This window comes from Homo sapiens, chromosome 12, assembly GCF_000001405.40.
Source record: "Homo sapiens chromosome 12, GRCh38.p14 Primary Assembly".
In the NCBI taxonomy this organism is placed as follows: Eukaryota; Metazoa; Chordata; class Mammalia; order Primates; family Hominidae; genus Homo; species Homo sapiens.
The window spans coordinates 11,022,935-11,049,562 of record NC_000012.12 but is presented as its reverse complement, the minus strand read 5'-3'; the positions used below and the strand labels follow the sequence as shown (position 1 = coordinate 11,049,562).

Here is a 26,628-nt window from a genome sequence, read left to right as displayed (position 1 = left end):
TACTTTTCACTTCATCCTCAATATAAAATATTTCAGCATATAGTAAGACAGACAGTGTATGAAGAGGAGTGAATTTGAGCTGTTTTGAGAATAAGAATATTTTCTATTTCTATAAAGACAGCTTTGAATTCATCCATTAGCATATGATGGTGCTTTCCTGTTGAAATTAGTCATGAATTTAAAGGCAGAAAATGTTACTACACATTTAAAAGTCAAGTGTTTATCGACATTAAGGTCTGGATATTAAGGGAATCACAACCAGTGTTATTAAGGCTGCATTTTTTCTTTCTTTTCATTTGTTCAAACATGATATGTTTTCTGCTCATCATTTTATCAATTCTGGTAGTGTTTGCATTTGTTCTTGGAAATGTTGCCAATGGCTTCATAGCTCTAGTAGGTGTCCTTGAGTGGGTTAAGACACAAAAGATCTCATCAGCTGACCAAATTTCTCACTGCTCTGGTGGTGTCCAGAGTTGGTTTACTCTGGGTCATATTATTACATTGGTATGCAACTGTGTTTAATTTGGCTTCACATAGATTAGAAGTAAGAATTTTTGGTTCTAATGTCTCAGCAATAACCAAGCATTTCAGCATCTGGGTGTTACTAGCCTCAGCATATTTCATTTGCTCAAGACTGCCAATTTCTCCAACCTTATTTTTCTCCACCTAAAGAAAAGGATTAAGAATGTTGGTTTGGTGATGCTGTTGGGGCCCTTGGTATTTTTCATTTGTAATCTTGCTCTGATAACCACGGGTGAGAGTGTGTGGACAAAAGAATATGAAGGAAATTTGTCTTGGATGATCAAATTGAGGAATGCAATACAGCTTTCAAACTTGACTGTAACCATGCCAGCAAACGTCACACCCTGCACTCTGACACTAATATCTTTTCTGCTGTTAATCTATTCTCCATGTAAACATGTCAAGAAGATGCAGCTCCATGGCAAAGGATCTCAACATCTCAGCACCAAGGTGCACATAAAAGCTTTGCAAACTGTGATCTCCTTCCTTATGTTATTTGCCATTTACTTTCTGTGTCTAATCACATCAACTTGGAATCCTAGGACTCAGCAGAGCAAACTTGTATTCCTGCTTTACCAAACTCTTGGATTCATGTATCTTTTGTTCCACTCATTCATCCTGACTATGGGAAGTAGGAAGCCAAAACAGACCTTTCTTTCAGCTTTGTGACAGGTGAAATGCTGAGTGAAAGGACAGAAACCCTCAACTCCATAGATTCACAAAGGGAGCATTGTGTATCTTTTAGCTGAAAACAAACTGACGGTATCTGGAACATTTTATATTTCCATTCGTTTTTCCTTAGTGTATATATTTGAATAATTTCAAAACAGATACCTAGAAAAGTCATCTATCTATCTATCTATCTATCTATCTATCTATACACACACACACACATATATGTGTGTGGGTATATGTGTGCATGTGTGTGAATAACAACATTGACCACAAATTATGAAGCCGAGTATATTTCACATATATATGTAGGTATATTTTATGATAGTTCATCCTATGGTATTTCATGTGAAGAATTTATTACCTCTATTTATAATTAGGAACTTACAGCTTTTATCAGGAAATCATTGTTGTTTTCCATTGTAATTTGTACCACATATATGTACTTAACTATCATTGTTTGAACCTCTAATTTTTTGGATGGTAAAAACATTCAATTCTAAATTAATGATGAGAATGGATCTTTGGGGTAGGTTTTATTTCATTATGAATTCTTATTTTATATTTATTATAAAGCAAATAGAATGGTTGTTAGCTAATGATGCACACAATAAAATTTGAGTGACAAACATACATACATAAGTAGAGTAAATTTTGTATGTGTATACCAAAAACTGTTCTAAAGGATACTGGATTTAATAGTAGTATGTGAATAGATTAGAAAAAAATCATTTCTATAATAGGAATGAAGATACATGATCATGATACTTTCAGTGCTGTTATAATTTTTTAATGTGTAGTTAGAAAAGTTGTTTCTTCCACTTTTTGAATTAAAGAAAACCTTTTTTTTTTTGAAATTGACATCTGATGTCAAGTATTTCCATTTATTTTGCTTAGCCACCTCTGAGCCCTTGAATTTCCAATTTTCCCTTTGTCTCCCATTCTTAATATTTCTCAAAAAAATTCAATTATTCCCTCTCTTAAAATAAACTCAATGTAAACAGGGTATATAAACTATGGATCACAATTGAATGAAACATTCTGCAAATATTGAAAATTATCTGTCTAATCTATATATTGATGATAGGAAATGTATTAATCATATGTTTCATTGTGGGTGGGCAGTGAGCTGAGGCTCCTCAAGCATCTCTTTCTATTTTTATTTTGTTTCTTGACATAGGTTCTCCAGCATTTGGCTCAAGGCCCCAAGGGCACATGTGACAAGAAGGCGCCAGCTTTTTAAACATTGGAAGTTCTTCTGTGTCAGTTCTGTGACAGAACATTTACTTAACACATCATGAAGGCTAGTTTGGATGTGGAGGGGAATAGACTCCATCTATCCATATGAGGTGAGTCAAAGCACTTAGACGTGTTTTCAAACCACTAATCTTGATGATTCAGAAATGTGCTCCCTTTTCCAATTTCATCCTGATACAAATGTATCATCTCCGGATGATGCCAATATTCTCCCCAATTCCATCATGAGCTGTTCTCTATAATTCAGAATCTGTAGACTAAGTTGTAAAACTAATGACTGTCAATGTATTCTACATGAAATAGTGGGCCAAAGAAAGAGGGAAACATGATAAGTAGAAAAATATACATACAACATTTTTTTCTTACACTAAAGATCAAATAAAACCCATAGGACCAAGCCTCCCACAGATACTTTTTATAAATTCTGGATAAAATATTTAAAAAAACAGCCATTCATTGGCAATGGAGAATGAACAAAATAGGCAGATACTAGAGAGAGGTCAGCACTTGGAAGAAGGGAATAGCAAGGAGTGAGTTTCCTGATTTTATAGCTGGCCCTAGTGTGCACCAGGCAGAGGACTAAAACGTCAGAAGAAAACTGTAGACTTACTGGGTTGAAGTAACAGAGGACTGAGTTTGGCATAACACGAGCAGCAGGAGGTCAGGAGAAAATCTGAGAAAGGAGAAGGCCAGAAAAGGGGAGCCCCAACTTCTGAATATAAACTATCCAAAGCTTTGTCTGGTCCCTATACCATGCATGTATAGGGCAGACTTCATGTAGCCCAGCTAAAATAATTAAATTGAGATTTCAGTTATCATCAAGCACAGTGAAGACAGAGATAGCAACAAAACATATTACTTTAGGCAAAGATACTCTATTCTTGAAAACCTAAACTACATTCCATTACCTTTCATAACAGTCATATTCCTTGTCCATTCTGGTTTCTACCTTGGTTCTAACTCCTACTTTTATTAATTACACTAATCAAAGTAATTCTCTTTCAAGGAGAAAACTGGAAGTTATGTAATTGAAGACTATTAAAAATAACTATTTTGGCAGATGTGCAAAATTCTCAAGCGCATATATTACAACTTTCTATAGTCATATACATCCTTTTTACACTTGCTTGAATTGGTCTACAAAACCCCCATGTTTCATAGTGTAATCCAAACAAATAGCCACTCCATAAAATATAAGAATAAAAGTTATATTTATTTATTATATAACCTTTGATTGGTGACCACATTTCAGTATTCCAACTTAACTAGAAATTATCTGAAGATTTTCATCAACTCACTGAATTTAATATTAGTCTAAGGTCTTAAATTGCACCAGGAATCTTGGAAATTAAATTTAAGCTGATAGGCTAGAGAAAATAATTACTGTCAATATGTGGAGTTTTTCATAATTTGTATTCAGTTTATTTGAAAGCATAATTTTACATTTTTTGGTATTTTAACATTATGTGGACATATTAATTTACCTTATCAGTAAACAGATATAGGAAGTTTAGGAATTTCTTTTTTTAAAATGTATTTTTAAGTTTCGTGGATACATACTAGGTGCATACATTTATTGGGTACATGAGATGTGTTGATACAGGCATGCAATGTCACATAATGAAGAATGGGGTAGCCATCCCCTCAAACATTTACTCTTTTTTGTTACAAACAATTCAGTTATACTCTTTCAGTCATTTTAAAATGTACAACTGAATTATCATTGATTATAGTCACCCTGCTGTGCTATCAAATAGTAGGTCTTATTAATTCTTTCTATTTTTTTTTTTTTTTGGTAACCATTAACCAGCCACTCCTTCCCTTTAGCCTCCACTACCTTTCCCAGCCTTTGTTTAGCATCCATGTACTCTCTATGTCCATGCCTTCTGTGCAAACATTGCAGTTGTTTCTGATGTATTCAACTTAACATAATAATCTCCAATTCTATCCATATATTGCTGCAAATGACAGGATCTCATTTTTTAATGGCTCAATTGTACTCCATTGTGTATATGTACCATATTATCTTTATCTATTAATCTGTTGCTGGACACTCAGGTTGCTTCCAAATCATGGCTATTGTGAACAGTGCTACAACAAACATGGGAGTGTAGATACCTGTTTGATACACTTATTTCCTTTCTTTTGGGTATATACACACCAGTGAGATTGGTGGAACATATGGTAGCTCTAATTTTTGTCTTTTAAGAAAACTTTCAATGGTTTTCCATAGTGGTTTTACTAATTTATATTCCCACCTGAGGTGTAGAATGGTTCCCGTTTCTCCACATCTTCACCAGCACTTGTTACATGCCTTTTGGATATAAGCTGTTTTAACGGGGTTGAGATGATATCTATCTCATTTTAGTTTTGGTTTGCATTTCTCTGATGGTCAATGATGTTGAGCACCTTTTCACCTTTTCATATGTGTGTTTGACATTTGTATATCTTCTTTTGAGAAATGCATATTCAAATCTTTCACCCATTGTTTGATCAGATTGTTAGATTTTTTTTTTCCTATACAGTTGTTAAAGCTCCTTTTATATTCTGGTTATTAATCCCTTGTGAGATGAGTAGTTTGCAAATATTTTCTCCCATTCTGTGGGTTGTCTCTTTACTTTGTTGATTGTACCCTTTGCTGTGCAGAAGTATTTTTTAACTTGATGTCATCCCAATTGTGCATTTTTGACTTGGTTCCCTGTGCTTGTGGGGTATTACTACTCAAGAAATTTTTGCTCAAACCAATGTCCTGGGGAGTTTCTCTGAAGTTTTCTTATGGGAGCTTCATGGTTTGAGGTCTTAAAGATACATCTTTAATCCATTTTGATTTGATATTTGTATAGATATATGGGACTAGTTTCATTCTTCTGCATAGGGATATTCAGTTGTCCCAGCACCATTTATTGAAGAGACTGTCTTTTTCCAGTGTACGTTCTTGGCATCTTTTTCAAAAATGAGTTCACTGTAGGTGTGTGGATTTGTTTCCAAGTTGTCTATTCTATTCCGTTGGTCTATGTGTCTGTCTTAATGCCAGTAACATGCTGTTTTGGTTACTACAGCCTCTGTAGTATAATATGAAGTCAGGTAACATGATTCCTCCACTTTTGTTCTTTTTTCTTAGGATACTTTTGGCTATTCTGGGTCAGTTGTGGCTCCATATAAATTTTAGGATTGTTTTCTCTATGTCTGTGAAGAATGTTTTTAGTATTTTGATAGGAATTACATTGAATCTGTAGATTCTTTGGGTAGTATGGCCATTTTAACAATGTTGATACTTCTAATCCATGGACATGGACCATCTTTTCTTTTGTTGGGTGTCCTTTTCAATTTCTTGCATTAGTGTTTTATAGTTTTCATTATAGAGATCTTTCATCTCTTTGGTTGAGTTAATCTTCAGCTATTTAATTTTATGTGTGGCTTTTGTGAGTGGGATTAATTTTTTGATTTTGTTTTCAGATTGTTCACTATTGACATATAGAAATACTACTAATTTTTATGTTAATTGTGTATACTGCAAATTTATTGAGTTTGTTTATCAATTCTAATAGTTTTTTGGTACAGTCTTCAGGTTTTATAAATATAAGATCATATTGTTTGAAAACAGGGATAATTTGGCTTATTCTTTTCCTATGTGGATGCTCTTTATTTATTTTTCTTGCATGATTGCTCTAGCTAGAGCTTCTACTATTATGTTGAATAGCAGCAGTGATTGTGAGCATTTTTGGCATGTTCCAGATCTTAGAGGAAAGTCTTTTAGTTTTTCCCAATTCAGTATGATACTAGTTGTGGGTCTTTCTATATGATTTTTATTATGTTTAGATTTTCCTTCTATATTCAGATTTCTGAGGGTTTTTATCATGAAGGAATATTGAATTTTATCAAATGCTTTTTCAGCATTAATTTAAATGATCATATGGTTCTTGTCCTACATTCTGTTGATATGATGTATTACATTGATTGATTTTGATTTGTGTATGTTGAACCACCCTTGCATCTCAGGGATAAATCCCACTTGGCCATGAGGAATTATCTTTTTAATGTATTATTTAATTTGATTCGCTAGTATATTGTTGAGACTTTAGCATCAATGTTCATCAGGGATATTTACTTGTAGTTTTCCTTTTTCAATGTGTCTTTGTCTGGTTTTGGTATCAGGGTAATAAGATTTTCAAGAATAAGCCTGGGCCGGGCCTGGTGGCTCACGCCTGTAATCCCAGCACTTTGGGAGGCTGAGTTCGGTGGATCACGAGGTCAGGAGATCAAGACCATCCTGGCTAACACAGTGAAACCCCGTCTCTACTAAAAATACAAAAATTTAGCCGGGCGTGGTGGTGGGCGCCTGTAGTCCCAGCTACTCGGGAGGCTGAGGCAGGAGAATGGCGTGAACCCGGGAGGTGGCGCTTGCAGTGAGTGGAGAGCATGCCACTGAACTCCAGCCTGGGTGACAGAGTGAGACTCTGCCTCAAAAAAAAAAAAAAAAAAAAAAAAGAATGAGCCTGGAAGTAGTCCCTCTTTCTCTATTTTTTCAGAAGAGTTTGAGTAGGATTGGCATCAGTTCTTTAAATGTTTGGTAGAATTCAGATCTAAAGCCGTCTGCTCCCAGGCTTTTTTTTTTTTTTTTTTTTAAACTGGGAGACATTTTATTGCAGAATTTATCTCATTACCTGTTTTTGGTCTTATCAGGTTTTGGGCTTCTTTATGGTTCGATCTTTGTAGGTTGTATGTGTCTAGGAATTTGTCCATTTGTTTTAGAGATTCCAATTTATTGATATATAGTTGTTCATACTAGTCACTAATATTTCTTTGAATTTCTGTTGTATCAGTTGTAATATCTCCATTTTCATCTCTGATTTTATTAATTTGGATCTTTTTTTCTTAGTCTGCCTAAACGTTTGTCAATGTTGTTTAACTTTTCAAGAAAACAAGTTTTTGTTTCATTGATCTTTTGTATTGTTTTCTTCATTTCAATTTCATTTATTTCTGCTGTAATTTTTATTATTTGTGTTCTACTAATTTTGGGTTTGGGTTACTTTTGTTTTTCTAGTTCTTTAAGATACACAATTAGGTTGTTTATTTGAATTTTTCTTCTTTTCTGATGTAGGCTTTTATAGCTGTAAATTTCCTTCTTAGTATTGTTTTTGCTGTATTTCATAGATTTTGGTATGTTTTGTTTCCACTATCATTTGTTTCTAGCAATTTTCCATTTCCTTTTAAATTTATTTGTTGACCTACTGGTCATTCAGGAGCATATTGTTTCATTTCCATGTGTTTATATAGTTTCCAAAATTATTCTTGTTATTGATTTCTAGTTTTATCCCATTGTGGCCAGAGTTGATGCTTGGCAATATTTCAGTTTTTTGGATTGTTTAAGACTTGTTTTGTGATCTAACATATGGTCTATCCTTGAGAAAAATCCATGTGCTGAGGAAAAGAATGTTTATTCTGCAACTTTTGGGTGAAATGTTACGTAAGTATCTAATAATCAGTTTGTTCCATAGTGCAGATTAAGTCTGATGTTTCTTTGTTGATTTTCTGTCTGGAGGATCTGTCCAATGCTGAAAGTGGAATGTTGAAGTCTCCATCTATTATTGAATTGAGGCTTTTCTCTTTGCTTTGCTCTAATAATATTTGCTTTATATATCTGGGTGCTCCAGTGTTGAGTGCACATATATTTACAATTGCTATATCCTTTTGGTGAATTGACCCTTTTATCGTTATATGGTGACCTTCTTTATGTCCTCATAGTTTTTGTCTTGAAAACTATTTTGTCTAATATTAGTATAGGTACTCTACTTTTTTGTTTTTTTTTTTTTTTTTTTTTTTGGTTTGCATTGACATGGAATATCTTTTTCCATCCCTTTATTTTCTCTCTGTGCATGTCTTTATAGGCAAAGTGTGTTTCTTAGAGGCAACAGATTGGAGTTTTTTTTTGTTTTGTTTTTCCATTTAGCCAAACTATGTCTTTTGATTGGAGAGTTTAGTCCATTTTCATTCAACGTTATTACTGGTAGTAAGGTCTTACTTCTGTCATTTTATTATTTCTTTTCTGGTTATGTTGTAGTCTGCTATTCTTTCTTTCCTTCCTTCCTATTTTTCATTAGTGAAGGTTATTTTCTCTGGTGATATGATATAGTTTCTTGCTTTTTATTTTTTTGTGTATCCATTCTATGCTGTTAGGTTTGAGATTACCATGAGGCTTGCAAATGCTATCTTCTAACCCATCATTTCAAGCTAATAACCACTTAGTACTGTTTACATAAGCAAACAAACAAGCACAAAAACAAAACAAATGAGGACTCTGCACCTTAACTCCATCTTCTCAGGTTTTAACTTTTTGTTTTCACTATTAATATCTTATTGTACTGTCTATGTCTTCAAAGCCTGTTGTAGCTATTTTTTAAAATTATACTTTAAGTTCTGGGGTACATGTGCAGAACACGCAGGGTTGTTACATAGGTATACATGTGCCATGGTGGTTTGCTGCACCCATCAACCCGTCATCTACATTAGGTATTTCTCCTAATGCTATCCCTAGCTCCCCACCCTCCAAAAGGCCCAGGTGTGTGATGTTCCCCTCCCTGTGTCTGTGTGTTCTCACTGTTCAATTCCCACTTATGAGTGATAACATGTGGTGTTTGGTTTTCTGTTCCTGTGTTAGTTTGCTGAGAATGCTGATTTCCAGCTTCATCCATGTCCCTGCAAAGGACATGAACTCATCATGAACAGATGATTATACTGAGGCACAGAGTAGTTATAAGATGAAGTCTCAGAGCATAGCTATGTGAAGCAGAAAATCTGGTTTCCTGTCTTGGCAGTTTGACTCCAAAATCCTCTCTTAGAAACAATTATACTTTTTAAATGGAAAAGAAATAAAATCCAAGATTGGAGACTGATTTTAACATCTATTCCTCTTAATCCTTTAAGTAATCAAAAATAAATTAAACGGAGAAAAATGAAACCAAATATTCATATACAAAGAACTCTAGACTCTTCAGTGAGAAACATGTGTTTTTCAAGTCACCCAAAATAGTTACACAATTGCTGAGTATTTTAATTAAACAATAAATATTTAAGTATTAACTGGGCTCTAGAGAAAAACTTAGTCAAAGGCCTCAGCATGAGCGATAAGTTTGATAAATATTGAAAATGGTCTGAAAAGCCCAAGTGGAAAAGCAGGGCTATTTCTACCTGGATGATGTCCCTGTAATTAATTTTCCATTTTGGAAATTAGAGGACAGAAATTCCTTCTATCCATGAGGGGGTGAGTATGTATGTATGTGTGTATGTTTGTGAATGTGTTTGTATGAATGAGCTTGTAAACAATAAGTTATACAAAAGTATTAGTAGCCACCAGGATTTAAGGATTATTGGCCTTTCTGAGGTTCCCAAGAAAACCTTAAATGCTTTTGGTAGGAAAAGACGGGATTCATTCTACATATTACTGGCGTTGAAAATATAAATCTACTTTGGTGATGATCCTAGTTATGCCCAAGCTCCCTTTACCAGGTAATAAAACCAATGTGTCATCTGTGTATTGGGTTGTTAAATTGCTGAACACAAATTATGGAGAGTTTAAACAAGGAAAAAATTGCAGAACATTTAAAAAACTCTTCATTGGCATGCTAGTAGATGAGAATTCAGGTTTTACTTCAACAACGATGTGGAAAATTTTATCTTACAGCAAGGACATTGTGTTTGAACAAGAGTTAATTTGAGCTGTTTTGGAAATTATCATATTTTCCATAAAGAGAGCATTGATTACATCCGTTGGCCTATTGAGATGCTTTCCTGTTTGACATTGGTCACAGAATTTAAAAGGAAAAACAACATTACTGCACACTTAGGAATCAGGAATAGAAGTAAAAGTCAGGTAAAGGGAATCTCGTCAGGATATCAGGCCTGCCTTTAAAAAAATTCAGACATGATAAGTTTACTACCAATCATTTTTTCAATAACAACAATAATATATTTATATTTTCCCATGGACACCTACATTAAGCTTGTAGACTATTTTTATATTTCAATATTTTTTTCTTTGAGTCCTTTTAAGAGTTGTTCAACAATCCTGAAATATCCCTTACAGTATGCTGTTAACTAATTATATTTTTTCAAAGTCATTTGACATAATGATTGATTAAAGGAAATATCTCCAGTATAAGTACACTTGCTTATAACAAAAGAGTATTTGAAATTGACATTACTTATTTTGGAAAGGATACGACACAATGGGAATTTTCATACACCACTCCTAGAATTATAAATCTGTGACATCATTTCGGCCGAGTATGGCATTATCTGATTAAGATGAAGGATCACATCCTAAGACCCAGCATTTATACTCTTATCAGAATACATATACATTCACATGCATATCACTGAGTTTCAATAGCTAAAGTTGAGAAGTCCTCCAAATGTCTATCAGTCCTCCAAATGAATAAACAAATTGTGGCATACTTATACAATGGAATACTATACAGTGATCAAAATTAACAAACAAGACTGACATGTTTACAACAGAATAATACAACAGAGAAAATGAACAAATTTGAGCTACATAAATAATAATACAGATATGAGAAGAATTATCAAGATGGAAAAATACATTTAGTATAATCTCATTTACATAAAGTTTGAAAAACATTCTTTTTAATAATTGTAATTTATTACATTGGTGATAAAACTCTGTAGTGAAACATATGAGTGATCATCATAACAACTGGGATAGTCAAGAAGGAGGAAAATGTCAGCAAGAAGACATATATTGGGATTATCTGGATGGCTGGCAAATTCTTTTTTCTTGCCAATGTGTGGTAACATCCATGTTAACGTTACAATTTTTTCTCTTTCTGTTTCTGTTGTGTTATTACTCTCTATGTGTATGTTATGCTCCACAATAAAAAATGTTAAAAAAGCAGAAACATAAAGTATATTTCTAAGTATAAAATTAGGGTGATACAGCATATTCTCATAGATACCATTGTAATTAGAGTTTTTGCTGAATAAAGGAGAATAGAGCATTATGGTACTAAGAAATCCAAATTAAAATTTAAAACTTTTCTTTTTTTATTTTGAGACAGCGTCTCACTCTGTTGCCCAGGCTGGAGTGCACAAGCGCAATCTTGGCTCAATGCAACCTCCGCCACCTGGGCTCAAGTGATTCTCCCATCTCAGCCTCCTGAATATCTAGGACAACAGGTGTGCACCACCACACCCTGCTGATTTTTTCTATTTTTTTTTAGAGGCAAGGTTTTGCCATGTTGCCCAGGCTGGGCTTGAACTCTTGTGCTCAGGCAATCCACCTCCCTCAGCCTTTCAAAATGCTGGGATTATAGGTGTGAGCCACCACACCTGACCTAAAACTTTTCTTAAATTAATTTTAAAAAAGGAGAGATAAGCAAGAACTGTAAATCCACCTTCTTAATGCTAATATGAATTTGAAACATCAAAATTTGAATATTTATTATTGATAGACACTTTTTATTTCCAATTTGATTATTTATGATACACATTTGAAAGTGTTAGAAATTCATGAATTTCCAATAAATTATACTACGATGGATATTAAATTAAATAAATATATCCAAAAATGTGTCTCTAAATGAAATATTTATACTCATATTTTTAGCATTTTAATTTCACAATACTATTCACATGTACACCTGTAAGTTGGGTTAAATATTTTGTTACTATAAATTTTTTGGCTCTACATTAGAGAAAAATACCATAGAAAGGCAAATTTTTTAACGTATAAAACATATTTAGCATGATCTTTGAGTATGTTTGTGCATATATAATTCAACTTTGACTGCTATAGTAAAATGATCCAGATTTAGTCACCATAGCTAAGAAGGGGAAAAAGCATTTGCAAGAATTTGGCTTGCTAATGATGCTATTAAAAGATAAACTAAAGTTGATATACTGTATTATTGCATAGACTATTTGTCCATGTTAGTGTTCAAAAATGCCAAAAAAAATCCCAAAATAGAATCCTAATTGTTGGAGGTCGTGTTTCTTATCGAATTTTAAAATGTAGTAAAAGAAAAAAAAGCAAATAAATCGTTGAAAATATGTTGGTTTTACATTATTCTTGATGAAATACCATGTGAGGGTACTTGTCTAGGCCTAATGCTGAGAATCATAGAAGAATCATGAGGCCATGAGGAAGAATAGTAGTGTTCTCTCATCACGCTGAGCTCCAGTACTTAGAAACAAGCCTGAAATCACACTGATCAAATAGCATTCTCCCTTTCACCTGCCATCATCATTATCATCATCGTCTATATCTTCATCTATATCATGAAGTGGTTTGTTTTTGAAATATTTAAATACATAATTTGGAAAATAAGTAATTTTAAAAAGATCATCATTGTGGGAAAGTTACAATAGTAAACAGCAAAGTTCAAGTCAAGCTCCAATACATTTAGATTTAGAAATTAAGTGTAGTTTATTTTACAATACATTGCTTATGCAAATAATTATTTATGGATGACCTTCAATGAATCCTCCTTTCACTATGATCATGATAGAAACAATTCAGATTTTCGTGTAAATAAAATTCCTTAATAAGAAAGATAAAGCGAGTAACACATTTTTTGAGCACGCTTTTATTTCTAAAGAGCGGATTTTAGGACCAAACTGTCAAACAGAGGTAAGACCCCAGATCTTCTGTCACACTTGAGTGAGTGATGATGGAGTTAGAAGGTTGTAGTTCTATAACCAAAACTATATTCATGGATAGGATTAAATGGTGGAATTCCATAGAAGCACCAGATTCAGTTTTGTTTCCATGGGACTTAAAGTCTACTTATGTCAGATGTCCTTCATTTTTTGATAAACTCGTAAGTACTGTTTTACTATTTGATCTTTCAATGATTGTTATAAACTAAGAAGTTTTGATTTCTGCTAATTAAAACAGCATAGGGCGGGCGCGGTGGCTCACGCCTGTAATCCCAGCACTTCGGGAGGCCGAGGTGGGTGGATCACGAGGTCAGGAGATGGAGACCATCCTGGCGAACACAGTAAAACCCTGTCTCTACTAAAAATACAAAAAATTAGCCAGGCGTTGTGGCAGGCTCCTGTAGTCCCAGCTACTCCGGAGGCTGAGGCAGGAGAATGGCGTGAACCCGGGGGACAGAGCTTGCAGTGAGCCGAGATCGCGCCACTGCACTCCAGCCTGGGAGACAGCGACACTCCGTCTCAAAAAACAAAACAAAACAAAGCAAAAACAGCGTAAAATTTAAATCATGGAATAGAGTGGTGGAGCTGTGGTTGAGATGCTCTATTTAATTAATTTTAATGACATTTTGAGATCCAGTGCTGCTCATTGAATTTGCCTGTGAAAAGAGTTTGTGGTGATGACCCAGCAACAGATAAGATACTATCCAAAAAAAGCTACTGACATCAAATCAATTTCCAGTTTCTTCTAAGTTGCAGGAGAATGCCTAGATCTTGCTTTTATTCTCTTCTTTGACCAAAGTATTACAAAAAGAAAAATATGGTTACCATTTTCATGTCAGGTATACTAAAAGTTTAAAAAAACTCTTTTTTTAATAACTTGGTTTTAGGAATACTTGGTTTAGTTTCTCCGTTAGAAAAATGATTTATATAAGGAGAACAAAAGTTCATTTCTACTTCTAAAACAATAAGACAAAAACAAAAAGAGTAATCAATTTTGAGAATCCAATAGAGTTAAAAACCAGTTAAACATAAGAAAGAATTAGTGAATTTGAAGATAACTACCCAGAATGAAGATAAAGAGACGAATAGATAGAAAATATAAGGCTAGAGGGTCAGAGACAGTGAAGCTACAATCAGAACAACTAACATACTTCTGCAGTTCCCGAAAATTAGAAGAGAACAAATGGGGCAGAAGCAATGTGGAGATTTTTCCAAAAGTGATAAAGTATATCAGTTCATATATTTTTAGAAACTATCAGACTTCAGACACGATAACTAAAACCAAATTAACATAAAATGACAGGACATCAAAGACCAATAGAAAACCTGAAAAGTAACTAGAGGAAAAGATAGATTATGTTAAAGGGAATAACTGTCTAAACGACAAGCTGATTTTCAACAGACAAAAATAAAGCTAGAGTTCAATGGATTCATGTCTTCAGTGTATTTCAAAAGTAGAATAGATCTTGATAAACAGAAACTTAAAATACATCTTTTCAGATAGAAGAAAAATTATTATTAATATTATTATTATTATTTTTGTTGGTAGAGTTGGAGTCTCACTCTGTTATCCAGGCTGGAGTTCAGTGGTAGGATCATGGCTTACTGCAGTCTGGAACTCCTGGGCTCAAACCATCCTCCCACCTCAGCCTTGTGAGTAGCTTCACTATGCCTGACTAACTTTTTCATTCATTGTAGAGGCAGTTTTACTGTGTTGCACAGGCTGGTCTTGAACTCCTGGGTGCTCCTGCCCCAGCCTTACAAAATGTTGGGATTATGGGTGTGAGCTACCCTGCCTGGCCAATAAAGGGTCTTATTGAAAATATTAAGTTGAATATGCAAGAAGGAATACAAATTAATGAAAGTGGTAAATATGTGCATAATTCTAAATGAATGTTTAGAAAATAATAATGTCTTGTTGGGGTAATTATACAATTGATAAGACATATGCAAATGGCAAAAAATAGAATGGAGGTAAAGGTGACAGGAGTAAGTTTAGTTAAATTATTTTCTGAACTTTTCTATGTCTATGAGGAGATTTTGAACAATGATAATATAATTCTACTCATAGGTATATATGCAAAGGAATTGTATCAAATGATATATGAAAGAATGTTCTAGTAGAATTATTCATAACTGTTCAAAAAAGAAACTGGCCAAATACATATTAAGGTTGGATGAATCATTACAGTAATTCCATGCAATGGAACAATATAGAGAAGTGAAAAAAAATCACATGTGCTTGCAACTATGTGACTAAATTTCAGAAACATAATGTTGAGTTCAGGAAGCCACAAACAAGAGGAACATGTAGGATTGCACCTATACAGCGTTCAAAGTAGGCTAGACCAAGCGATGGAGTTTAGGGTTGCATACCTAGTTGGTAAAGTATGAAGAAAATTGAGGAAATAACCATTATAAATTATGGATATTGCTTATATCAGGAGATGCGAAGAAGGGTTTAGGGACTTGGAAAGTGGAATGGAGGTGGATCTAGCCTGTTTTAGGTGTTCCTTGTCTTGCCCTGCATCATGGTTACTTGAGTGTTTATGATACACTGTGGTATTTCCCATTTTTGTATTGGTTCATTTCTAAGTGCGCATTATAACTTTAATATACAAATTTGTAATTAGGAGAAATATCTCATAGAAATTATTATTACTCGTCTCATTATATACTGAAGGGAAATATCAATTATTTGTATACATTCCTATACAACTCTAAGATAGTTGAAATAGGAACTTTCTTATTTAGTTGCAACATGAGGAAATTTGAGATGATGTTATCTGCCACCCCCAGATCTTTCCAAAGGATTTCTTCTAGCCTTAATTATCGACCTCACAGGACAAACCTTTGCCATTCCCCATCTATTTTTTCTTTCGGCTCCTGAATTCCTGACACAACAAGGTTGTACATATTTCCCACACTCTTGGTTTAAGAGTTCTTTTATCAGTTATGTTTCTCTGCAGGAGAAGACCCTTCAAAACTACATTAGATATTTATATCTCACATGTCGTTTGATGTTGGTTTTTTGTTTTGTTTTGTTTTGTTTTGTTTTGTTTTGTTTTTTGACAGAGTCTTGCTGTGTCGCCCAGGCTGGAGTGCAGTGGCATAATCTCAGTTCACTGCAACCTCCGCCTCCCGGGTTCATGCCATTCTCCTGCCTCAGCCTCCCGAGTAGCTGGGAATACAGGTGCACACCACCATGCCCTGCTAATTTTTGTATTTTTAGTAGAGATGGGGTTTCACCATGTTGGCCAGGATGGTCTCCATCTCTTGACCTCGTAATCTGCCTTCCTCAACCTCGCCTGCGCTGGGCCTGGATTTTATTTTTCTAAGCTGGGTTTGGTGGATGGCTGTGGTGATTTGAGATGGGCCAAATTCTACATCTTGGAGGACGTTAGAGTTTTGCCAATTTAATCTGGATCAGGTGGCAGCAATCTCACGTCATTAGTTTCTCATTCTTCTTCTGGGAACAGTGTACTAGATAGGCCATACTCTTATGGTAAATGGAAAGAAGAAGAATCCCCAGTATGGAAGCCATCTCAAATCTCTATGCAAACTGTAGTAATTTTCTGTTTATCAAAGTAAGTGAAATGATTGAACTCCAAGTTCAGGGGCAAGGTAGTCAGTCTTCCTGTGATAGGATACTGCAGGATTATATATCAAAGGGTCTGGTACTGAGGAATTCTTATAAAATTGCTAAATATTTTTTATAATAATATTTAAACATTAGACTTGAGAGAAACTTTACCAAGTCCTAAGAATTAGAGATAATGTTTTTGATAAATAAATATTATTCATGGGCTGAAAACCCTGAGTGGGAAAATAGGACTAATTTCATCTGCACAGCCTCTTGGAAACTCATTTTTTATTTTGGAAATTACAAGAAAATAATTTGTTCCATTCATAAGTGGTGTGCACATGTGTATATTTGTGTGCATATTTATGAGTTTGTGAATAATGAAGTTATACGAAAGTGTTAGCAGCAACCAGATCTTATGGAGTAGTGGCCTGCCTGTGGTTCTCAAGAAAATCTGAGATGCCTTTGATAAAAGCAGTTAGGATTCTGTGTATTTAAATCTGTGATTTAAAAAAGTCCGCATTGGTGATGATCTTAGTTATGACCAAGCTCCCTTTGAGAATTTAGATATTTACTATATGATATATATATTGAGTTACAAAACTTCCCTAACAACTGAAGTCACTAAAGATAAATGATGGAGAGGTTACACAAGGAAAAATTGCAAACACTGAAAGTGAATATGTCCCTATTTGCGTACTAGCAAATGAGGATTCAGGTTTCACGTCAATTTCAGTGTGAATAATTCCAGCCTATAACAAGAACAGACAGTGAATGAATGAGTTAATTTGAGTTGTTTGAAAATAAGAATGTTTTCCATAAAGAGATCATTGAACTCATCAGTTAACATGCCATGGTTATTTCTGGCTTGACACTGGTCACAACAATTAAAAGTAAAAAGAATGTCACAGCACATTCACAAATCAGGTGCATATAGAATTTAAGGTCAGGATATTCAAGCAATCACACCCAGTTATATTACATTGAGAGATGAAGCGAGCTATACTTTCTGAATCGAGTGGGGACTTGGAGAACGTTTCTGTAGCTAGCAAGGGGATTGTAAAATGCACCAAACAGTGCACTGTAAAACCACAGCAATCAGCGCTCTGTAGCTAGCAAGAGGATTGTAAAATGCACCAATCGCTCTAAAATACACCAAGCAACAGGATCCTAAAAGTAGCCAATGGCAGGGAGGATTGAAAAAAGGGCACTCTGATAGGACAAAAAAAGGAAAATGGGAGGGGACAAATAAGGGAATAAAAGCTCATGGCTTCAGCCAGCAGCAGCAACCTGCCTGGGTCGCCTTCCTCCCGGTGGAAGCTTTGTCCTTTCTCTCTTCTCAATAAACCTTGCTGTTGCTCACTCTTTGGGTCCATGCCATCTTTAAGAGCAGCAACACTCACCGTGAAGGTCGGTGGCTCCATTTTTGAAGTCAGGGAGACCACGAACCCACCTGCAGGAACCAACTCCGGACACAACACCAGCATTAAAACAATTTTTTTTTGTCTGTTCAGACATGACAACTTTTATACCCATCATTTTTTCCAGTGTGGTAGTGGTTCTATTTGTTATTGGAAATTTTGCTAATGGCTTCATAGCATTGGTAAATTCCATTGAGCGGGTCAAGAGACAAAAGATCTCTTTTGCTGACCAGATTCTCACTGCTCTGGCGGTCTCCAGAGTTGGTTTGCTCTGGGTATTATTATTAAATTGGTATTCAACTGTGTTTAATCCAGCTTTTTATAGTGTAGAAGTAAGAACTACTGCTTATAATGTCTGGGCAGTAACCGGCCATTTCAGCAACTGGCTTGCTACTAGCCTCAGCATATTTTATTTGCTCAAGATTGCCAATTTCTCCAACCTTATTTTTCTTCACTTAAAGAGGAGAGTTAAGAGTGTCATTCTGGTGATGCTGTTGGGGCCTTTACTATTTTTGGCTTGTCAACTTTTTGTGATAAACATGAAAGAGATTGTACGGACAAAAGAATATGAAGGAAACTTGACTTGGAAGATCAAATTGAGGAGTGCAGTGTACCTTTCAGATGCGACTGTAACCACGCTAGGAAACTTAGTGCCCTTCACTCTGACCCTGCTATGTTTTTTGCTGTTAATCTGTTCTCTGTGTAAACATCTCAAGAAGATGCAGCTCCATGGTAAAGGATCTCAAGATCCCAGCACCAAGGTCCACATAAAAGCTTTGCAAACTGTGATCTTTTTCCTCTTGTTATGTGCCGTTTACTTTCTGTCCATAATGATATCAGTTTGGAGTTTTGGGAGTCTGGAAAACAAACCTGTCTTCATGTTCTGCAAAGCTATTAGATTCAGCTATCCTTCAATCCACCCATTCATCCTGATTTGGGGAAACAAGAAGCTAAAGCAGACTTTTCTTTCAGTTTTGCGGCAAGTGAGGTACTGGGTGAAAGGAGAGAAGCCTTCATCTCCATAGATTCATGAGAGGGGCATTGTGTGTCTTCTAGCAGAAAACAAACTGGTGGTGTATGAAACATTTTATATTTCTTACTGGTTTTTCTATACTGTATGTGTATGAATAATTTCCCAACGTATACCTAGAAAAGCCTTTGACCTAATATTAGTCTAGAAAAAAAAATATATATATGTGTGTGTTTATGTGTGTATGAAAACTTAAGAACATTGACAATAACATGCTCTTTTCTGTTTTTTTCATACAAACTGCCAAATTATACAAAATATGACAAAAATTTCTTAGAATTTTGAAGCCATGTATATTTCATTCATGTATTTTATATTTCATTTGTAGAATTTATGATGTCTATTTATAATTATTAAGAAGTAACAGCTTATCCCAGGATAAATATTGCTCTTTTCTATTGTTATTTGAACCACAGGAATACACCACATTGTGCTTAGAATTCATTGCTTGAACCTCGAATTTATTGGATGGTAAAGTCATTCAATTCTAAATCAATAATGAGGATGTATCTTTGGTGTTTTATTCCATTATGAATTTCTATTTTATGTTTAGTAAAAAGCAATGAGAATTATTGTTAGAAAAGAATGCACACAGTAGAATTTGAGTGAGAAGCATATGCAGAGTAAATTTAATGTATGTCTACCATAAGCGGTACTGAGGAATATTAGATTTCATATGTGAATAGCTTAGGAAAAAATCCCTTCTCTAATAAAGGGATGAAATATCATGATCATGATCTGGATTGGTATCATCAGTTATGCATATGCAGTTAGAAACGTCATTTCTTCCGCTTTTGAATTAAAGAAAAGCTGTTTTTGAAGTTGAGATCTCATGCAAATTATTTTAGTATTCTTTCTAAAGCACTTTTAAGCCCCTGAATTGCTAATTATATCCTTACCTTCCATTTATGAAATTCCTTCTAAACTTCAGATAAGAGAACTCAAATCCTCTCTTTTTGAAAAATAAAATCAATGTAAATATAATATATAAATTGTGGAAAATATTTCAGTCAAACTTTTTGTAAATGTTAAAAAAGTATCTATGAAATCTGTGTATTAATTATGAGATGAGCCTTAACGTTGTAATTTTGTCATCAATGATGAAATGAAAGGGTGTTGACATATTCTTTAATAGGAAGTTCTATTATAAGAAAGAAATGTACAGTCTTGTTCACAGCTAAATTCTACTTGACTGTATTAATTCTTGGTGTTATGAAATTTAAACAATGTGATTTAAACCTTAAGATGAATCATCCCCCCACCTGATTTGTGTATTTTTTTAATCATATATCTTCCTCAGTACAATGTAAGGACTGTAAAAAAAGAGATAATGTCTGTCTTGCTTTCTGTTGACTCCCAGGAACTCGAAACCAGCACCAAGAATAGATGGTCAAAAATGATACTTTAATGAACAAATAAATGGGTGGCTAAAATGGATAAGTTGATGTGGTAAACCAGTGAAAAGGAAACTCACACAAAATCTGCAGTTGCATGAATTCCCCTGTTCCAGTCTCAGGTTAAGATTACAGGCTTATCCAAGCAGAATCCTTCTCCTAAGGAAAAGTTTGGCTATTCCACAATTTTAGGGGAAATATGACAATAATATAGTCTTGATGCAGCTGTATCAGGTGTCTGAGTTGGAGACAAGGTAGAACACCAAAATTAGATGGCACCTATTATAATAGTTTGAAAAATCATATAAACAACTTTGGTCTATTTGAATATGTATTTTTTTCTATTGTCAATTATTTGTATTATGATATTTTCTAGTTGATTATTTAAACAAAAATGACATTTCATTTCAAAAAATTGAGTTAGTAACCAGCTACTTTACCAAAATGTTTTTAATGTAATACCTGTTATTGAAGTGCTACCATTTATTTAGAAGTCAAGTTCAAGACAAAAATGGCAAGGACGTGTGGAAATTGAGACCGGAACAAATGTGAAACAATGTGTGGTGATGTCTGGTATGACCCTGATGGCAGCCACTTCACAGTGAGGTGAGAGAGACAGCATGATGGTCATCAGATGCATGTACTTGGCTTCCAGCACTTTTCCAGAAGGGCTACAAGGGGAAACCACAGCTGGCATTAGTCCATGGAAGAGAGAGAGGAGGGAGAATGTATCTGCTCATCTGTCATTAGTCTTCTATTTCCTATTGGTCAGGGTTTCCTTGAGGCAGAACTATCATCTCTGCTGTTCTGTCTTACATCATCCAGTCCCTTGGTGGTGGTCATGAAAGTCAGACCTCATGCCCACAGTGTGGTGATGCATTCAAGTCCCAAATAGAAGGATGACCTGGATCAGGCAAGGTGCTGGCCAGGGGAATTGGACATAGTGAAGAGAATCTGAGAAAGCACATGTTTGTGTCCAGTACCGCCACTCCTTGTGCCACTGAGGCGTGCTCATACCCTCCAGTCATGGCTGGCTTTATGAGCATATGACGTCCACAGTTGCATAGGGTTTTGTGCTTATAGGGACTTGTGCTTAGAGGGACTCTATGCTTGGATTAATATTCTGCACTTGCTATTTTGTTTGTCAGACAGAGGATACTTGTCTGCTGAAGAGAGAATGGTCTTACACTAATTCCATAGGGATTTGCTCTCCCCTCTCCAACAGGCTTGTCAGAGACATGCACAGAGTCCTATAATGACCACTATGTATGTTCTAGCATCTTTGAATCCTGCTGGATCATCTGGCTCAGTGGCCAGAGCAGCTTGGAGCAGAGTCTATATCTTCTGTAGAGCCCTCATTTGTTCTGGATTCCACTTGAGACCAGCAGCCTGGGAAACTTCATTAATGAGTCAGAGCAATATTCTCAAATGTGGAATATGTTGTCTCCAAAATCCCAATAGGCCCCCAAAACATTGTGTCTCTTTTGTAGTGATAGGAAATTTATAGAGAGAGCAACATGCCATATACTGTAAAAAAGATTGTTTCAACGTGTGGTCTAGGGACACTGAATGCTTTAAAACATCACCTATGCTGTAGGTCCCTGAATCTTCTCAGGTTGATTTCTTTTCTTCTGGTATTTTACTTCCATTCATCGTTAGAGTATTTTACTATAGTTAAGAAACTTGCCACTTCCTGATTATTGTACCAAGTAATATATTATTATTATTATTGCTATTATTTTGAGACAGGGTCTCATTCTGTCCCTGAGGCTGGAGTTCAGTGGCAGGATCACAGCTCATTACAGCCTCAACCTTCTGGGCTCAAGTGATTCCCCCACCTCTGCATTGCTAGCAGCTGGGACTGCAGGGGCACAACATCACGCCTGGCTAATTTTTGTATTTTCTGTAGGGCTAGGATTTCACAGTGTTACCCAGGCTGGTCTCAAAATCCTGGGCTCAAATGATCTTCCCGTGTCGGCCTCCTAAAATGATGGGATTACAGTCATGTGCCACAGGGCCTGGTCTGTAATATTATTAATATATTAAATAATCACGATGTTTTAAAAAATGTAAATTAAACAGAAGTGACATAGCCGTGATATAAAACAGTGACACAGTGTTATTATTATGATACAAGGCAAATTGTTTTGATTTTTCCTCATAATGGGTGTAGATTAAGAACCATTCAGCAAATCACAAGCCCAGTAAAAAGTACCAGAAGCTCTGCTCTGCTTAGTGAAGACAGCACATCCTGGAAAGCATTTGTGAGTGTTGATTTAAGTTTCTGGTAGTCTGCATTCATTCTATAACCCGTCTGGTTTTGATAGAGGCCAGATAGGTTTAGTGAATCGGCTTATAGAAAGGACTACCATCCCCTGTAACTTTCAAGTGTTTTGTCACGGCACTGACCAGTTCCATTCCTTAGGGAATGCGGTTATTATATTTTATATATTTTGTTGCCAGTAGAGGAGAATTTCAGAGGCTTCCCTTTGGTCCTGCTATAATAATGTCCTTTACTCTACAGTTCACGAAGAATGTGAGTCCTGCCGGCTGCCATACATATCTATTTCAATTATACTTTCAGGAAGAGGTAGTAACTACAAACTGATTAGCTCCACCTTGGAATGGACATGAGCCGAAGCTCTAGGTAGTATCTGACCTTCAAAAACTCCCCCTGCAGGCTGGATGTGATGGCTCATGCCTGCAGTCCTAGCACTTTGGGAGGCGAAGGTGGGAGGATCCCTTGAGAGCAGGAGTTCCCTTCACAACATGTGGAAACTCCGTCTGTACAAAAAATTTAAAAAATTAGCTGGTGTGTTGGTGCATGCCTATAGTTCCAAATACTTGGGAAGCTGAGGCAGGAGGATTGCTTGAGCGCAGGAGTTCCAGGCTGCAGTGGACTATGATCCTGCCACTGTACTCCAGCTTGGGTAACAGAGGGAGACTGTGTCTCAGAAGAAGAAAAAAAAACAAGTATAAGTTCTCACCGGTATCTTAAACATCAAGTAAAACAGTATCGAGTAAAACAAAAAACTAAAAACTCCAAAAGTCAAAAACACTTTTAAAAAGAACATGGTGTTAAGAGTAGTTTGTTCAGTTTCCCCATAGAAAATGATTTATGGAAGGAGAATAAAAGATTATTCTGAACACTAAAACAATAAGACTGAAAAAATGAATTATCAATATTGAGAATCCAATAGACAGAGTTAACCAGTTGGATACAGTACAAGAGAGAATAAGTGAATTGGAAGATAGCTACACAGAATGAAGCATAGAAGGGAAGAGATGGAAATACACAGAGCTAGAGGGTAACACATTGATGCTACAGACAGAACACCTAACATACTTCTGGAGTTCTGTAAGATTAGAGGAGAGAAAATAGAGCAAGAGAAATGTTGCAAGGATTTTTCCAAAAGGTATAAAATGTATCCCTGAATATATTTTTAGTAATCTCAAACTTCAGGCATGATAACTAAAACCAAATTAACATAAAATAATACAGGACGCAAAAGACCAATAGAAAATCTGAAAAGTAGCTAGAGGTAGAAGATAGAGTATGTTGAAAAGAACTGTATTCTAAATACAACCTGATTTTAACAGAAAACATGGAAGCAGGAATTCAATGGATTAATGGGAATCATGTCTTCAATGTGTTTCCAAAGAGTAGTAGACCTTCATAAACAGAAATTGAAAATGATATTTTTCAGATAAAATAAAATTACTGAAAATACAAAGTTGAACACGCAAGGAGCATTACAAATTAATGACAATCCATGCTGGCTAACACGGTGAAACCCCGTCTCTACTAAAAATAAAAAAAAATTAGCCTGGCGTGGTGGCGGGCACCTGCAGTCCCAGCTACTCCGGAGGCTGAGGCAGGAGAATGGCTAAACCCGGAAGGCGGAGCTTTCAGTGAGCAGAGATCGTGCCACTGCACTCCAGCCTGGGTGACAGGGAGACTATGTCTCAAAAAAAAAAAAAAAAATTAATGACAATGAAAACTAAGTGTGTAATTCTAAATAAATGTTGACTATATAAAACAATAGTGTCTTCTTGGATTGAATGTATAATTGATAAGATATATGCAAATAGCAATAAAGAGGCTGGAGATAAAGGTAACAGGAATAAATTTAGTCAAACTGTGTTTTGGGCTTTTCTATGTCTGTGAGAAGAATTTGAACATCATAATCAAGGACCCTGTAATTCTACACCCAGATATATATACACAGAGGAATTGTAGCAAATGATATGTGAAAGAATGTTCATTGTAGCATTATTCATAAAAGCTCAAAAAATAAGCTGTCCAAATATATATCAAATAAGGATGGATAAATAATTACAGTAAAATCAAAAAATGAAAAAAATATAGAGAAGTGAAAAGATATGGATCACATGTACATGCAATGATGGGGTTAAATTTTGGATACAAAATGTTGATTCCAGGAAGCCATGAATAAGAACATATAGGATTGCACCTATACATAGATCAAATCAGGCCAAACCAAGCTATTGAGTTTAGGGTCGAATACCTTATTGGTAAAGTATAAAGAATATTAAAAAAAGACCATCATAAATTAGGGATGTTGCTTATCACAGGAGACATGAAGAAAGGTGTAGGGAATTAGAAAGTGGCATTGAGGTAAACTTAGGCTCTTAGCAATGTTCCATGTCTTGCCCTACATGATGGTTACATGAGTGTTTATGACACATTGCTATGTTTTCCATTTTTGTTTTGGTTCATTTCTAAGTGTGCAGTCTAGCTATATGATAAAAATTATTAATTAGGAGAAATGGTCCATGAAAATTATTATTACTCTGCTCATTATATACTGAAGGGAAAAATCCACTATTTGTATACATTCATGTGTAACTCTAAGAGATTTTAAGTAGAAACTTTCTGATTTTAGTTGCAACTTTAGGAAACTTGACATGATGTTACCTGCCAACCACAGATTTCTGAATAGGTTTTTCTTTTAGGTTTAATTACCCACTTCATATGACAAAACTTGGACATTCTCTATTTTTTCCTTCGATCCTGAATTCCTGACACAACAATGGTGGGCATATTTCCCACACTCCTGATTTAGCAGAATACCTACATCACTTATGTTTTTCTGCAAGAGAAAACTGAGTTAGATAATTGTGTATCATTATGTCTTTGGATTACATTTTTCTAACCTAGGTTTGGTGGATGGCTCTGGTGATTGGAGATGGGCCACGTACTGCATCTTGCCGCTAGTTTGGCTGATTTAGGGTAGATAAGGCAGTGGCATTCTGACTCCATTAGTTTCTCTTTCTTCTTCTGGGAACAGTGTGCTAGCCAGATGATGTCCTCATGGTTAGTGGAAAAGAGCAGGAAACTTCAATATGGAAGCCATCTTAAATCTCTGTAAATTCTACTAATTTCCTGTTGACTGAAGCAAATTACGTGAGTGAATTCAGAGTCCAAGGTCAAGGTAGTCACCCTGCCTGAGGTGGGAGGGTACTGCAGGATTATGTGACAAAGAGTAGGGTACTTAGAAATATTTACAAAATTGCTGAACATTTTAATTAAATAATTAATGTTTAAACAAAACAGACTTGAGTGTAAATATACCAAAGGCCTAAGCTTGAGAAACATGTTTGATAAATATTATTCATTGTCTGACAGCCCTGAGTTGGAAAATAAGACTAATACCACCTGGATGAGTTCCTGGAAACTCATTTTCCATTTGGGGAATTATAAGAAAATAATTCCTTCCATGCCCTAAGGGTGTGAGTGCATGTGTGTCTATGTGTTTAGGAGCTTATTAACAATGATGTCATATCAATTTATTGGTTATCAGAAACCAGATTTTAAAGTGTATCAGCCTCCCAGGGATTTCCAAGATAATCTTGGATGATTTTGATAAAAGGTTTAGAATCTGGTATTTAAATCTGGCATAAAAATAAGTCCATATTGGTATGATCCTAGTTATGACCAAGCTCCTTTAACAATTTAGACATTTACTATATGATATATGTATTGGGTTTTACAATTTCCCTATGGAACAACTGAAGATGCTGTATACAAATTATGGAGAGGTTAAACAA

The 26,628-nt window shown here is 35.3% G+C and overlaps 3 protein-coding genes, 1 long non-coding RNA gene and 1 pseudogene across 6 annotated transcripts in view; all 5 read left to right on the top strand.

Annotated features, from left to right (window-relative positions):
• PRH1-PRR4 (PRH1-PRR4 readthrough) overlaps positions 1–26,628 on the top strand; it is a 325,777-nt gene that overhangs the window by 122,063 nt on the left and 177,086 nt on the right. The window contains exons 2-3 of the long non-coding RNA NR_037918.2: positions 2,375–2,543; positions 14,678–14,781. This is a non-coding gene — a long non-coding RNA (PRH1-PRR4 readthrough). The remainder of the gene's footprint in view (positions 1–2,374; positions 2,544–14,677; positions 14,782–26,628) is intronic.
• Positions 1–26,628, top strand: part of PRH1 (proline rich protein HaeIII subfamily 1) — a 290,647-nt gene that overhangs the window by 122,049 nt on the left and 141,970 nt on the right. For all 3 annotated transcript variants that reach the window (NR_133575.2, NM_001291315.2, NM_001291314.2), the window contains exon 2: positions 2,375–2,543. Coding sequence is in view for 1 of the 3 variants with exons in the window: in NM_001291315.2 (NP_001278244.1) it covers positions 2,508–2,543 (36 nt within the window). In the remaining 2 variants the exon portion in view is untranslated. The remainder of the gene's footprint in view (positions 1–2,374; positions 2,544–26,628) is intronic.
• PRH1-TAS2R14 (PRH1-TAS2R14 readthrough) overlaps positions 1–26,628 on the top strand; it is a 234,202-nt gene that overhangs the window by 122,049 nt on the left and 85,525 nt on the right. The window contains exons 2-3 of the mRNA NM_001316893.2: positions 2,375–2,543; positions 14,678–14,781. Of these exons, the coding sequence (NP_001303822.1) occupies positions 2,508–2,543; positions 14,678–14,781 (140 nt within the window). The 5' untranslated portion in view covers positions 2,375–2,507. The remainder of the gene's footprint in view (positions 1–2,374; positions 2,544–14,677; positions 14,782–26,628) is intronic.
• On the top strand, positions 249–1,257 carry TAS2R63P (taste 2 receptor member 63, pseudogene; annotated as a pseudogene).
• On the top strand, positions 18,156–19,176 carry TAS2R31 (taste 2 receptor member 31). The gene has a single exon (NM_176885.2). It carries the CDS (start codon positions 18,228–18,230, stop codon positions 19,155–19,157), a length of 930 nt encoding a protein of 309 aa, NP_795366.2. The 5' UTR covers positions 18,156–18,227; the 3' UTR covers positions 19,158–19,176.

Bases quoted from the DNA above. Each gene is read 5' to 3' on its own strand.
- TAS2R31 (NM_176885.2), top strand. From the start codon at position 18,228: ATGACAACTTTTATACCCATCATTTTTTCCAGTGTGGTAGTGGTTCTA.